Below are 14706 nucleotides of genomic sequence, written 5' to 3'. Positions count from 1 at the left end.
TAAATAAAGCAAAAGGCTTTAATGCCATCTGCCAGAAATTATGCCAAAGGACAAGTTTTTTTGGGATAGGCCACTATCCTGAAGTAACTTCAAGTGCACAGGTGTGAGACTGAGTGTACTGCTGCCCTTCGAGGGCAACTCTCAGTACCTACATCATCAAAGTCAGCGATGATCTCGTTCAGGAGCCGAAGGCATTCCAAGCCCTCCTTGTTCACGTCGGATTCTGTATAAAATTCTTTGAAATCCGGAATGGAGGCAAACATGACGCAGACGCAGTCATAGGACTGGTGGTATAGCTCCTGCTTGGGAGAAAAGCAAGAGCTGATCACTAGGAGACTGACCTTTAAACAGAAACACTCCACAGGCAAGTGGCTTGTTTATGCCAGGATTCACACAGACATCGCCCAAATGCCTACTCCACTTGCCCCACCCCAGCCGCGGCCCAATCCAGATGCTGCCGCTGCTCTCAGGGGAAAGCTTCTAATGAGCTGGATTCAGGCCACTACCAGTTAAGAAGAGGTGCCTTGCCAGTTAAACCTCTCTGTCATATTGACTTGAGACAATGACAACAGACCACGGAGTTCTGGCTTAGTAAAAAGTGTCCTTTCAACAACTGAAGGGAAACAAAATAATTTCCCAAACTCTCAGATTGTCCTGAAATAACTCATTATGGCTATAGTATTTGGATGGGAGTCTTGATGAATTTTCCTCTTCAGTGTCTCCTGAAAACAGCGTATGGAATTCATCAAGTTACTTCTTATTACACCAGAAAGAACCAATAGAGCTCCTCAGTCTACTTATTTATATTATATTAGACACTGACTATATTTATTCATGATATTCTTTTGTTTTTAAATAGGAAGAAGCTCATAGTTCTTTATCCACAGACATGAGTTAAATTGCAGTGTCTTGTAAACACAATTTCAAGGTGTTTCCATAATTTTCCCAACACAGTGACACCTTCGAATTCAATGAAGGTTCCAGAAAGGAAGAGTTGTTAGGTGGTCTTGGGGGCTAGTCCTAGGTGTGGAGGATCTGCCCTTCCACTGGCAAGGGGTCCTCAGACCCCTGAGATGGCCCTAACACAGGCAGACTAGCCGGGGCCACTGTGGACGCAGTGCAGCATGGGAAATGCTTTCTTCTCCAGGAAAGGTGAGGAGAGTTCTGTTAAACAAGATGGCTGACCTCTGAGGGGAGGGAAAAATGGTTGGTGCTTCCTGTGTGTCTGGCAGGGCGAGGGAATCCATTCTACATGAACATTATCAGTAAGCCCTGCTCTTTGGGGCACCCAGATGAACTCCTTTGCAGAGAGCAAGCACTTAAATAGTATTATAACTCCAAGGTTTGGTGGCACCTCAGAGGAACTGTTCTTTCCCCAGGGAGGTCCCGTCACAAACCCATCAGAGCCAGGGCAACCCAGGTGAAGGCCACAACAGTTTTGAGAAAAAGATGGACTCGTGTCCTTTTCTGGTTCTCAGGACCAGCCACTCTGTAATCCCTACTACTGCCTCAAGATCTGTACAAAGTACATGAACAACGAAATCAAGGTTTTCTTTTCTATTTTGTGCTCAATATGATTGTGCTGGTTTCTTGTGCAGAATTGTGTTTTCTCTCTCTCTGCAAAGTTGCCTTTGTGAACACTCATATCCTCGGTAGACAGCCTATGACAGCCAAGGCACAGCGCTGGCAATGCTGACTGCAGCCAGGGGTCAGAGAACAGGGATGAGAACCCCCTAGGATCTTGTGTGAGTTAAAAATGTCAGTTTTATAAAAATGGTATAAACTCCACTGATGTCCCTGTGCTTGAGGAAAAGGGTGCATCTAGCCAGGGGAGGACATACTTTTTTTTCTTTTTGAGACAAAGTCTCACTCTATTGCCCAGGCTGGAGTGCAATGGCGTGATCTTGGCTCACTGCAACCTCCACCTCGCGGATCCAAGCGATTCTCCTCCCTCAGCCTACTGAGTAGCTGGTATTACAGGTGTGCACCACCATGCCCAGCTAATTTTTTTTATTTTAGTAGAGACAGGGTTTCACCATGTTGGCCAGGCTGGTCTCGAACTCCTGACCTCGTGATCCACCCGCCTTGGCCTCCCAAAGTGCTGGGATTACAGGTGTGAGCCACCGCACCCAGCCAAGGACATATTTTCTATATCCTGCATTTCCCCACTCTCTGCTGACACTGTCCAGAGTGCTCTTTGGGGAATGATAATGATGACAAGAATAAGCACAATAATAGCCAGCACTTACTGAGCGCTCACCACATGGTAGGATGGGCACCTCTCTGAACACTTTAAGTGCATGAACTCACCACAACTACAACCCTGTGAGGCTGGTACTAGAGTTTTCCATCTACAAATAAAGAAACTGAGGCACAGAGGGGTTACATTACTTGCCCGAGGCTGGAGTTATCAAGTCTGACAGTAGAATCCACCCGTGTAAATACTATACTTTATACTTGATCAAGTCTCCGGGATGATCATGGGCTTCACTGCTCAGTTTGGGGGTAGCACAGGTCCTCTGACACTTGCGGGTCCTGTCACTTTACCTTTGTATTTTCCTCTGGAGTCTTTAAGGGTGTCTGGGAGTTGGAGATGATGAAATGCAAGACTGAACTGATGGGCAGTTTGGATCTGACATGTCATTTCATTACACAGGACCAAAATGGGGCTGCACGGGAGAATCTCCAATGGGACTTCCCAGAGGGCAGGTGCCTGGGCCTCCCCACTGACCAAACGACCCTCATCCCCTAGGCTGGGCTCCAAGCGCAGGCATTGTTTTGGAAAGTTCCCTGGGTTATTCTGCTGTTCAGCCTTGATTAAGAATGACAGACTACGTGAGGAAATGGAGCTCAGGGGAGCTGCGGTTGCCACCAAGGCTCTCAGCTGGCTAAGGGGAAGGGCCAGGACCAATCCCTGCATTCTCTGCAGGCCGTGAATGCTTCTGGGGAGCTTGGACTACAAACTGATCACCCACTTTCTTTGGCAGAGTGGTCTCTTGGAAGCTCTGAGGCTCTGAGGGAATGCCCAGGGTGAGCTCAGGTCACTGCTCACCTGGTCCTCAGATTCAGGGCTTCCATAAGACTATAACTACTGGGAAACCAGGGAAACTTCTAGGCTTCTGAAATTCTCTGGAGCCTGTGAAACTTGGAGGGCTGAGAACCATGCACTGAACTCAAGAGAGGTTCCCTCATGTGGTTGCATTGGGTGTGGGGCCAGAGAGGATTGCATGCTGACTGGTAGATGACCTGAGATTGTCTTAGACTTCCAGAGGACCTGGGGGCTGGAGTAGGGCAGGTGGGCAGCCTTTGAAGATAATTTGGAATTCAAGGTCTAGAATGGGTGACCCATGTCAGCATATGGCTACCCAAAAGTATTACTGAGCTTTAGAATTGAAAGTGAGTTTAGACGTCTCCTCAACATTCATTCACATGTAACCATTCTGTTGAACAAGCTCAAGGCATGAAAAAATAATCACAAAGCAACTGCGTTTCTGTGGCCACTACCCCTTTCAGTTTTTGGAGTGTGGCTAGATCTTCCCCATCTTGGACGAACACTCGGGACTACCCTGTGGCCCTGCATGTCACTGTGTGTAATGCAAGGTCCTCTCATCCATAATTAGAGGCCCCAGTCCAAGAAATAGTCAAAACTTGGCAGGGCGCGTTGGCTCACGCCTGTAATCCCAGCACTTTGGGAGGCCGAGGTAGGCAGATCAGGAGGTCAGGAGATTGAGACCATGGTGAAACCCCGTCTCTACTAAAAATACAAAAAATTAGCCAGGCACGGTGGTGGGGGCCTGTAGTCCCAGCTTCTCGGGAGGCTGAGGCAGGAGAATGGCGTGAACCCGGGAGGTAGAGCTTGCAGTGAGCCGAGATCGTGCCACTGCACTCCAGCCTGGGTGACAGAGCAAGACTCCGTCTCAAAAAAAAAAAAAGAAAAAAAAAAGAAATAGTCAAAACTCTTGCCCTCGTTGTACCTGTGGCTTGTGCCCTTCCCCAGTGTGGGCCTTTTGCAAGTGGAGAAGGGGGATCAGTTGGTTTCTACTCTCTCTCCACCACTCCTCCACTCTTCCTAACTTGCTAGCTGGGTTTTCCAAACCATCCAGAATGGAGAAGAGGGGAAGGAGGAAGAGGCTGCGAGGCAGGACAGCTTCCTATTAGCTGCATCCTGCTCCCTGAATACTCAAACCTGGCTTTCCTCCTGTGGATGTTTTCATGGGTTTTTGGAAGACTCCCTGCCATTTCGCCCATCCCTGGACATCCCCTCAAACCTGAGTCTTCTATGATGGAGGCCATGCACATCCCTCCTGCTCCTCACTACCCTCTCAGGTCCGGGCTTTCTCTGTGGAGGTGCCTTCACCTCCCACTGCCTTCCCCCCGTCACCCAGGCAGCTTTGTAACATTGGATCTAAAATAACCCTACACCAATTCTCTTTTTCTTGCTTGATCCTTGGGCAACACTGAGCACCCTTTGCTGTCCAAACAACTGACAGTCCAGCCATGTCCCAAACCACAGCTCCCCACCCTGTGTGCCCAGATGCCCCATCAGCACCTGCATTCAGTGTTTCCAAGTATCAGAACCTGCCTGCTATTGGTGTCCCCCAGTTGGAGATGCTTCCCAGGACCACTCAGAGACTCAAGTCATGGGGTGCTCCCAGGCTGAGCAGTTCTGGCCTGTTCACAGGCTGGAAGTGAGGGGGGATCCCCACCTTCCCCTCTAGGAGGGGGCTCATCCCCACTACATTCTACCCAAACCCTCTTTCAACCTCTAGTCTTCTGGCCAATTCATAAGCTCCCTGCAGGTCAAGGAAGGCGTTTGTAAGCTCTGCACACTGTTTAATGCCTCCTTTGGAATAAGAGAGCAAGCGTCTCTTAGTGTCGCAGGCTGAAATTCCCTCTGACGCCCTGTTACACACACACGTGCCCTATCAAAGGGCCTGCTGTGTGCCAGACTTCATACCAGATGTTAGGGACACAGAGGAAAAGAACACAAGCCCTGCCCTTAGGGAGCATGAAGTCTAGTTGGAGAGACAGAGAAAATCCAGAAAACATAATAAAGTGCAGTTGGTGCCGTGGGCCCAGGTGTGGAGGCGTCTGGGGCTCTCCATCCAGGTGGGCATGGGGGTTGGAGTGTTCTAGAAAACATTCAAAGCTGCCACCGGCGCTCAGGTCTCCCACCTCCCAGACCAGACTGGTGCTTTGTCTCACTGACTTGGGCTGCATAGAGGCTTTGGATCGTCCACGTTTCCCGAGTTGATCTATGTGGGAACCATTAAGCACCTGGTGTCCCCAACTGTCAGTTAATGCCTAATTTACTCAGGGGAGTCAAATGACTAGAAAGCACAGAAGCGTCTATTGAAACCCCAAGGGCATGCTAGCCTGACCCTCCTGCAGAGGACGCATGGGCATAGAGCTTAAAGCTTAGCACTGTTGAGTGATCTGCCTGGTCGTCACTGGGAGGGTTCTCACCAGCAGAAAGGGAGGTGCTGTTTGCACACGAGGGGCATTTCCCAAATTTCTGTGGTGGCATCCGTGGCTCATGTGGCTTGTTTTGATCAGGCATTGGCTCTCTCCGAATGAGGATGTCTGGCTCACAATCCTCTACCACCCGGGGACTTGGCACGGGGTCGATTTGGTGACAAAATGCAGTCTTCTCCCCAAGTGATGAGAGCTGGCTTTGATGCCCATTGAAGGGGCTTTTCAGAAATGTTCCTGCCACACACAGAGGTGGGGAGAACAGGCTTCCGAAACAGAGAAGGCTCCCATCTGGGTGCACAGAACTCTCCTGATGAGCCTGAGGGTTGTGTGGGCTGAATCTGGCCATGACAGTTAACAGCTGATGGAGAAGCTTCAGGAAGTTTTAAGTAACACAAGTGCCCAGGAGAAGGAAGAGGCACTGCAAAGCCAGTGTAGACACAAACAGCCAGCCCTATGCCCATGAGCCCGAGCATAGGCCTATGAGCACTTCTTCATTGAAATAAAACCTTTTCAGAATTGATTGTTACAGCGATTACATCATTCTTGACTCCCTATTTCTGAAGGGAAATTAATTTCCTTTTGTGCATTGATGCAGTGGGTAGGAGAGCAAAAATGACATGATCTGTGTTAATGCAGGTCTTGGCATAAGCTGTGCCATTTTCCAAGCATTGTTCCAGAAGCCATGGAGTGGAGGCTATCCAAAGACGCCCTGCCCTGGACTCAAAAAGTCATCAGCAACCACAGGTTGTGCCACAGAGAGGAATGGAACTGCCTCCCTGGTCTCTCCCAGAGTCCTGACCTGTCAGTTTTGGTCCCAGGAAGTCGTTCATCCTCAGGGCAGTGATTCTGCAGGGAAGCAGCCCCCATCCTGTTTATGCATGAAGTATTTCACTAGTTAAGTCAGAAAGGATGCAGGTATAAGCTGATCCCAGGCAGGGAAATAAAACATGACTTCAAGTCCTTTTTTTTTTGGCTTATAGGTAGACCTTGTTGTATTGCGTCTTGCTTTATTGCAGTGCACAGATATTGCATCTTTCACAAAGTGAATGTTTGCTGCCACCCTCCCTTGACCAAGTCTAATGGCACCATTTTCCCAACAGCATGTGCTCATTTTGTGTATCCATGTCAGCATTTTTTGCAATACAGTATTTTAAAGTTAAGGTATGTACATTTTTTTTTACACATCATGCTATTGAATACTTAAAACATACAGTATAGTGTAAACAATCTTCACATGTGCTGGGAAAGCAAAAATTTGTGACTCGCTTGATAGTGATATTCACTTTATTGCAGAGGTCTGGAACCAAACCGGCAATATTGGTAAAGTATAGCTATACTTGCTTTTGCCAAAGTCTTGTTTTCCTGTATTATTTCCAGAAGACTCACAGAGCAGTATCACCAAGAGTTTAGTGGAAATGGATTAGTGTGGTGGATGCCGGGGCAACCCACACAAAGGGGCTGAGGGCCTGCTCCCATCCACCCCATGCCCCAGAAGCCTCCCCCGGGGCCTCTGCATTCAGAGGCACTGAGCACTCAGCACCAGGGCTTGGCCCACCCTGCTGAGAGGGGGCTGGGAAGGCAGGCACTGCCCACAGTGCTTTTTATCCAATGCCAGGAACAGGAGCGAAGTGATTACATTGGGTTTTGTTTTCCACTTTATTCAGGCTCTAAAAATGTTGGGCAGGAGCCCTTTCTGAAAGCTTTTGATCAATTCCCAGGGGCAGTGATTCTCAAGTTTTGCATGAATCTGGGATATTTGCTTAAAAGATAGCTAACAGTATTTACTACATGCCATGCACAGTTCTAAGAGCTTCATCTAAATTATTGCTTCAAAAATTGGTAATGGTCTCTGAGAGGACTCTGAGGCCCCATAGCCAAGAGGTGCCAGGGCTGGGACAGATGCTTTGCTCTCAGTCACCTCTCAGGGCCCAGGAGGTCAAGGAAGGCTTGTGTGGGGACCAGTAATAGCTTGTTTAGCAGGTGCTTCACTTTCAGAAGCACTGCTCTTGTCTGCAGGGACTTCTTTGGTCCCAGCATCAGCCACACTCTGCCATGCAGTTTCAGTAAGGGGTAGGGCTTCTGCTTGGGGAAACCTTAGGGAGGAAAAGAGCTCAGGCAGGATGTCAGTATTTGGTCCTGACACTGTAGAGGGGACAGAAACCTTGATGATAGCTACACTCTTAAACAGCATGGGCACCGTTATCATTCAGCTGTGCAAGGCCACACAATATTAGCCCCACCTGGCCTGGGATTGCAAGGTTAATATTACATCATTAGGTCAAGGAAATAGATTCTTCTGTCCAGTGAGGAGGCTACTTTAGGGCAGCAGGGTCCGATGGCCACAGGAGACATTCCACAGAAGGGAGGGGCACGACTTTGCTATGCTTTATGCACGCAGGTGGCTCTTCTTATAACACCCTCATTATGTGTTTTCAGAAACAAACAAAACTCTCCCTTTCTGAGACTCACTGTGGGAACTCTGAGAACTTTTGGCAGGGGGTTGGTGCCTCTCTTTCTTGCTCAGGCCCTTTGTGTGGGCTCTGTTTTGCATGCAGTGCTGTTCCCATGGGGACTGAAGCCTCCAGAATCTCCCCACACTCACTGTTCCCGCAACTGGCTAGCAAACCTCCCCTGGGGGAGTACAGGGTCCTTGAGGAGACGGCATAGGTCTGCTCTGATTGTGGTGGGGATTGGGGGCTCCTTTTAATAGTTTAGTCCCCAAGTCTTACAATGGCTGCTAGAGTAGCCATCACCCCCATTGCTCACCCTATTAGACAGAAATTGGTAGTAACATTTGAAATGTTACAGCCAAGGGAAGATCTGCATTGTGTGATTAAGTACAGAGAACCCTGCAGCCCGCCAGCTGAGCAGAATGACACGATCATTTCATTTCCCAGCATCACAGTGGGAATGATGATGCTCTGATTTAAGGTTCAGTGTCCACTCTTCTCCCTTCCAGAGAACATGTCAGGTCAGCAGCGAGACTGCAAGCCTACCAGGCAGGAATCACTGGCCTTGAGCGTCATCCAAACACCCTTGGCATGCCTGTTATGGAACGTGGAGCCATCCATGCTGGTCCAAGTCTGAAGAGCTCTGAAACCAAGCTCTTTCATTCTCCTATAGGGCTGTAGGCTGCCCCCAGTCAGGTGTAGATTTGAGGACCCCGTGTTTCCCGAATGAAGGAAGGAACCATCTTCAGGTGTTGCAACTGGAAGCTTGGTGAACAGGCACTGATCATCTGCAGGGGGATTTATATCAATGCTTAAAGACAGGTCCCTATGTACACACAGGGCTACAGTGGCTGTGATGACACCCCCAAGGGGTTCACCTTCTTTATTTGACAAATACAGAAACAAAGCCCAGAGCTGGCTTCATCTAAATGTTCCCATTCCTGCTTTGCTCCTGGAAAGTTTCCGAGCTGCCCTTGCAGTGAGGCAGTGCCAAAACCAGGGCTCACCCCAGGTCCCGAGTCCCCACTCCGGGCTCCTGTTAGGCCATGCTGCCTGCCCCACTACTCGGCTTTACACCATGGAGCTCGCAGGGTGGTGAATGCTACAGGAGACACTGTGTGTCTTTTTTGTTGTTGTTGTTGAGATGGTGTCTCGTACTGTTGCCCATGCTGGAGTGCAAAGGCACGATCTCGGCTCGCTGCAATTTCTGCCTCCTGGGTTGGTGCGATTCTCCTGCCTCAGTCTCCTTACTAGCTGGGATTACAGGCACATACCACCATGCCCGGCTAACTTGTTTTTGTATTTTTAGTAGATACAGGGTTTCACTATGTTGGCCAGACTGGTCTTGAACTCCTGACCTCATGATCCGCTTGCCTTGGCCTCCCAAAGTGCTGAGATTACAGGCCTGAGCCACCGCACCCAGCTGACACTGTGTGTCTTTAACCCAACAGCAGCACTCCTTAGGAAACTTGGAGGAAAATGTCACGTCACCCTCAGGAGCACCAGAGGGTTGTGCAGTGGCATGAAGGTCCCTGGTACACAGCAGGGCCACAGGGGAAGTGGAGGAGTCACTGTGAGCTGCCAAGACCCGCACTTTGCTGCTGTCTTCCCTCTCATGCGTATCCCACCTGTGTGGATGTGGGTCCCGTGCACGCCTCTGTGAAATGCCCGCCTCACCTGGAGGACTGCAGTGCGAAGGCACCATGCAGATGTCCCTCAGCCTGCCTCCAGCAACTGGAAGGCAAGGCACCATGCTTCTTCTTTTATGGATGAGGACGGCGAGGCTCGGACAGGGAAGTAACCAGCTCACGTTCACAGGAACAGACAATGTTGGGAGTAAGATTTGAGGCCGCACTGTGTAGCTCTAGGTTTTATTCTCCTTCCCCATCTTGCCTTTCCTTATTATTTCCAAGGAGGGTAACTGTATTCTGATGCTTGCTTAGAATAAGCCAAGCAAACAGGAAAGAGCAGAGAGAACCTGCTACTCCTGGAGGTCTGGCCCAGGGAGGCTGTCAGGACATGAGACAGGGCTCTGCAGGGCTGTGAGGCTGAACCCTGGGGCCAGGGTACCTTCTGTGCTCCCCACAGACCTTCACAGAGCTTCTCGAGCTCCAGAGCTTTCCTCTGAGCCCATGTCTAGGAAGGGACCCTCCTATCAGCTCCCAAATTCTTTTAAAAATGTTTATTTATTTATTTAGAGATGGAGTTTCGCTCTTGTTGCTGAGGCTGGAGTGCAATGGCACGAGCTCGGCTCACTGCAACCTCCACCTCCAGGTTCAAGCAATTCTCCTGCCTCAACCTCCCAAGTAGCTGGGATTACAGGCACCCGCCACCATGCCCAGCTAATTTTTTTTTTTTTTTTTTTTTTTTTTTTGTATTTTTAGTAGAGACGGGGTTTCTCCATGTTGGCCAGGCTGGTCTTGAACTCCTGACCTCAGGTGATCCAAACGCCTTGGCCTCCCAAAGTATGAGATTACAGGCGTGAGCCACCGCGCCCGGCCTCAGCTCCCTTATCTCCCTTTGCTCTCTTCCTGCCTGCTCCAGTGGGCTCTTCTCAGGTCTTGAATTAGGCACTTTCCTGGTGCCTGTGGAAAAGTAGCCCCTTGGAGCCTGAAATGTTCTCTCCCCGTTCCTCTCTCCCCCTGGCCCCCGTCTCCCAGCTAGTTTCTAGCACTTTATTTCCAGATTCAGAAGCCACTTCCTCACAGTGGCAGCCTTTCTGGAGTACCATATTTACATCCCAGTGTCCTTGGAGATAACAGGATCCTATCCCCAGGAGGCGCCCACGGAGGATGAGGCCACCTCTAATCCCATTCATCTCTGTATCCTGGGCCACCACCAGCCTGGCTACAGGGCAGGGGAAACATGGGGACCTTGCTGAATTTAAAAATGGGCTGGAGACTCCTGTTAACGAGAACAGAGGGCCCTTTAATAGACATTGTAATTTTATTACCTGTGATCAATAGGAAAATCAGGTGCTGAAGAACCCACCAAATGTAGTAAACACCAGGAGAAGAGATAGGAAAGCCAGTGGGCCATGAGACTTGTTGTGTAGCCCTGGAAGGCCCACTGTGCCCTGAATATTTCCAGGAAGATGGGAGTGGTGATGTCTAGCACCTCATCTGCCACCTGGCACCTTCTTCTTAATGCCAACTTCAAATCCGCTACAGAAAAATACTGTTCCAAGGCTTCTCACTGCAGGTTGCTTTGTGTTCTGGTATCATCCAGGTTGAGCTTATCCATTAAGGAGTTCATCCATCTACAGGTGACCCCCACCTCTTTTGCGCATGCACTCCCATGCCTCAGTGAAAATGTCCTAAGAACAGGGGTTACACCTCTGAAAAAAAAAATCTCAGGACCCCAAACTCACTAAAAGTTAAGCTTGGGAACTGAGTCATGCAAGAAACTACCTGCTTTTTGTTCCCACACGGATGGCTGCAACATAGAAGGGCCACGGAGCACCCCAGGTGGCCTCCCTCACAACTGCTCAGGAAAAAATTCCTTGTGGGCCCTGAAATCTTTCAGAATAGACACCCCCCCAAAAAAAAACTGACCAGAAAACAGAGTTCTGTTGACTCTTATCCTGGCAATGCAAATTAATAGCTGATCTTCACAGGTACTGGACAAAGACAAGACCAGAAATCATCCCTCGGCTCAAGCAGAGGAAGGCATAATGGGCTTTTCCTGACTCCTCTCTTTTCATATGGAAAATGTGGTTTCAATGAGCACTAATCAAGCCTCACAAGAATGTAACCATCTCTTGTCTACCCCGTTTCTCTTTTTATTCCTTTTCCTCCTTCCCCTACTGTCCACTCTTTCCCCTTTCAGTATTGGAGTCTTCAAAACTCTCTTTGGGAAAAGCACAGGCCAGGAATCCTAGTGTAACTTGTGTTTCTTTTTCCTGGGCACCATCCTCAACCTTGGAAAATAAACTTCTAACTTGATTGAGACCTGTCTCAGACACTTCTTCGTTTACACATCTCAGACATCTGGGAAACACCACAGAAATGAGCGCAGGGCTTTGCGTACTGTGGATGCTCAGATACATGTTTCTCACGTTAAGTCCAAATGTAGACATATCTGCTTTCTCTTGCACTTCAGCAATATTAAAGACATCTCACAACATCTCTTCAAAACCCATTTCAATATTTAACTGACATTGTAGTCTTTGCAACTCTAGCTAATCCATTTGGATAAACACTCCATGAAATTCCCATTTCTATCCACTCTAATGGATGGACTCAAGTCTTTGGTCTGCTCTTGTGTAGATAACTCCTAAATCCTGTCACACTCACTGTGTATCTGATATCTTTGAAATTCTAAGAGCCTTGGAAGGCTGTCAGGGAAGCTGAGTGTGGGGAAACAGGGGGCGTGTGGGAGGCATGGTTTAACGTTGCCTCTTGGTTTGAGCCTCCATTGCGTGCTGGTAAGGCAGGCCTCCTCCCACAATGGGGAGAGAGCAGTGGCTTCTTTGGAGGCATATTTGGGATCCTAGTGCCTCATAAAAGACATTCAGAACTTTACATGATTGGGGAAAAAATCTCTAATAATGAATCCACCTCCAGACTCAGACTTTTAGAGGTCATTCTAACCCACTATTCTCAACGGATATCTCTACAACCAATCAATATCTCCTTGAAAACTGAACAATTCAAGCCAATCTTGGCCAATTTGAACACTCAGATGTGTGAAGTACTGCAGCCTTTATGTCACTGAAGAAGCTTTCAGCCCTCACCCAGGTCATCATGGCATCCAGCCCCCTCCCCCAGCCCCCAGCCCCCCTGGTCTGACCTCATTCTTCAGGCTCCTGGCCAGGAAGTGCTCAGCCACGTGCGCGGGAAGCACGTTCTCCAGCAGCACGCGGTTCAGGTTCTCCATGGTCTCTATCTCCTCCCGCTCTTTTTTGAATTTGTTCTTCCATAAGAAGTCTAACCTACAGTAATATTCATTCTGTTACAAGAGGACACAGAGGTAAAGAAACAATAGGCATCTTGTCCTGCCAGAGAGTGGAGGTTTTAAAGAGAAAACAAAAAGAACAAAATGAAACCGAAAAAAGAACCCCCAAACAGAACTTCCACCCTCCCCATAAAGCCCTCTGTGTCCCTGAAATGTCCTTCAGTCAACCTCTGACATGGATTTGCAAAAAACAAGAACCAGCCTCAGAAACAGGGAAATCAGCTATATGGAGGCTTAAATTCAAAGCGCCATTAAAGCTTCCTGCAAAGTTATGCTACTAAAAGAGGGCTCAAATTATTTTTTGAAAAGAGGCAATTGTAGAATATAAATGATGAATACATGAAAAATACCTCTGTAGAGAGAGTGCATTTTTTGATGATTTGAATAAAAACTGTATTGTTCGTTTATGGCAGTTTGCCTTTAGCATTTGTAAATTAGTTTTTCCCTAACACAAATTGTATAATTATGTAATCATTGCAAAATATGGATTTTTCTTCCACTTGGGATTGTGCTGTTCTGACAGAATGCCATTCGTTACATTTAGAGAAAAGTTCATTTTGATATTAATTAAGATAGTGCCTGTTAGTAAAAACCTGTGTTCATGCTTTATAATGTATTAAAATATAATGTATTTTAAAAGTAGTTATTACTAACATTGTAGGAATGGAGAGGCCCAATTACTGACAAAGAGTCTTTTGGGTCTTGGCATCATTTTGTGCCTCCTATGATGTAAATACTTTAATTTAATCATGAAATAGTCTTGAATGGATCTTCCTGTAATAGAAGGGCTTAGTGGAGAGTGTGTATTTCACACAGATAGTCACTTATTGACAAATAAATGCAAAGAAGAGCTAACTGCAAGTTTTTGGTTTGCTTTGTTGAGTTGATTAATTCTACCAATGACAGTACAAAGTAACACAAAACACACACACATGCACACAGATGGCCTCTCATGCACAAATGGGAATTAAAAAAATTTAAAATCCACATTTTGAAATTTGAAAGAACGATGATCATTCATTAGTTATGTTTGATTCAAATTATCTGTCATACATTAGGAAAACTCCTCCTCTGGTGTGGCATTTATGTTTATCTCATATAGCAAGGCATTTTCAAAAAACTGCAAAAAAGATATTTTAAAAGTTTGTTTATATTTAGCCAGACATGGTGGCTCATGCCTGTAATCCCAGCACTTTGGGAGGCCAAGGTGGGTGGGTCACTTGAGGTCAGCAGTTTGAGACCAGCCTGGCCCACCTGGCAAAATCCCGTCTCTACTAAAAATACAAAAATTAGCCGGGCCTGGTTGTGCGCGCCTGTAATCCCAGTTACTCAAGAGGCTGAAGCAGGAGAATCACTTGAACCCAGGAGGTGGAGGTTGCAGGGAGCAGAGATTGAGCCACTGCACTCCAGTCTGGGAAACAGAACGAGACTCTGTCTCAAAAACCAAAAACAAAACCCCAAAAATAAAAGTTTGTTTATATTTAAAGTTTCACGTTCATGCCAGATTTTCCACACCATGGACTGATAGAAATTATGCTCTACATTGACTAGAAAAGCCTTCTCACTTGAAGAATGGATTTAAAAAAAAAAATAAATCAGTGGTGTGACTGGCTTCAAACTAAAACGATAGATGCAACAAGTGGTGGGGGCATTGAGAAGACAAAGGTGCACACTTCAAATTAGACAAAAGTGAAGCATGAGATGAAACCACCTCCAAGGGAGCAGTTAAGGCAGCAAGTCCAACCCAAGTGAGCATGAAAGGTTTCCATGCGCCATGCTAGGATGTTGCTCAGGTTTTCAGAGCCATTGTTATTGCATAACAGGT

General features: G+C 47.6%; 1 protein-coding gene across 4 annotated transcripts in view, besides 2 other annotated features; it reads right to left on the bottom strand.

Annotated features, from left to right (window-relative positions):
• Positions 1-14706, bottom strand: part of ADCY2 (adenylate cyclase 2) — a 433944-nt gene that overhangs the window by 27565 nt on the left and 391673 nt on the right. For 3 of the 4 annotated variants that reach the window (NM_020546.3, XM_011513942.3, XM_047416645.1), the window contains 2 exons: positions 12717-12875; positions 153-299 (listed from right to left, as the gene is read on the bottom strand). In NM_020546.3, coding sequence (NP_065433.2) covers positions 153-299; positions 12717-12875 — 306 coding nt within the window. Of the gene's footprint in view, positions 1-152; positions 300-12716; positions 12876-14706 lie in introns of those variants that run through there. The other variant, XM_047416646.1, reaches the window with a different exon arrangement.
• Positions 7729-7828: an enhancer, noted in NCBI's record as "active region_22346". NCBI's record gives its function as "activates an Ori minimal core promoter by ATAC-STARR-seq in GM12878 lymphoblastoid cells {active_cell/tissue: GM12878}" and the evidence as "EXISTENCE:reporter gene assay evidence [ECO:0000049][PMID:35858748]".
• Positions 8079-8238: an enhancer, noted in NCBI's record as "active region_22345". NCBI's record gives its function as "activates an Ori minimal core promoter by ATAC-STARR-seq in GM12878 lymphoblastoid cells {active_cell/tissue: GM12878}" and the evidence as "EXISTENCE:reporter gene assay evidence [ECO:0000049][PMID:35858748]".

The sequence above is a fragment of the Homo sapiens genome, chromosome 5, assembly GCF_000001405.40.
Source record: "Homo sapiens chromosome 5, GRCh38.p14 Primary Assembly".
NCBI classification, from domain to species: Eukaryota; Metazoa; Chordata; class Mammalia; order Primates; family Hominidae; genus Homo; species Homo sapiens.
The sequence above is the reverse complement of the archived record's forward strand: the minus strand, read 5'-3'. Positions and strand labels throughout refer to the sequence as shown.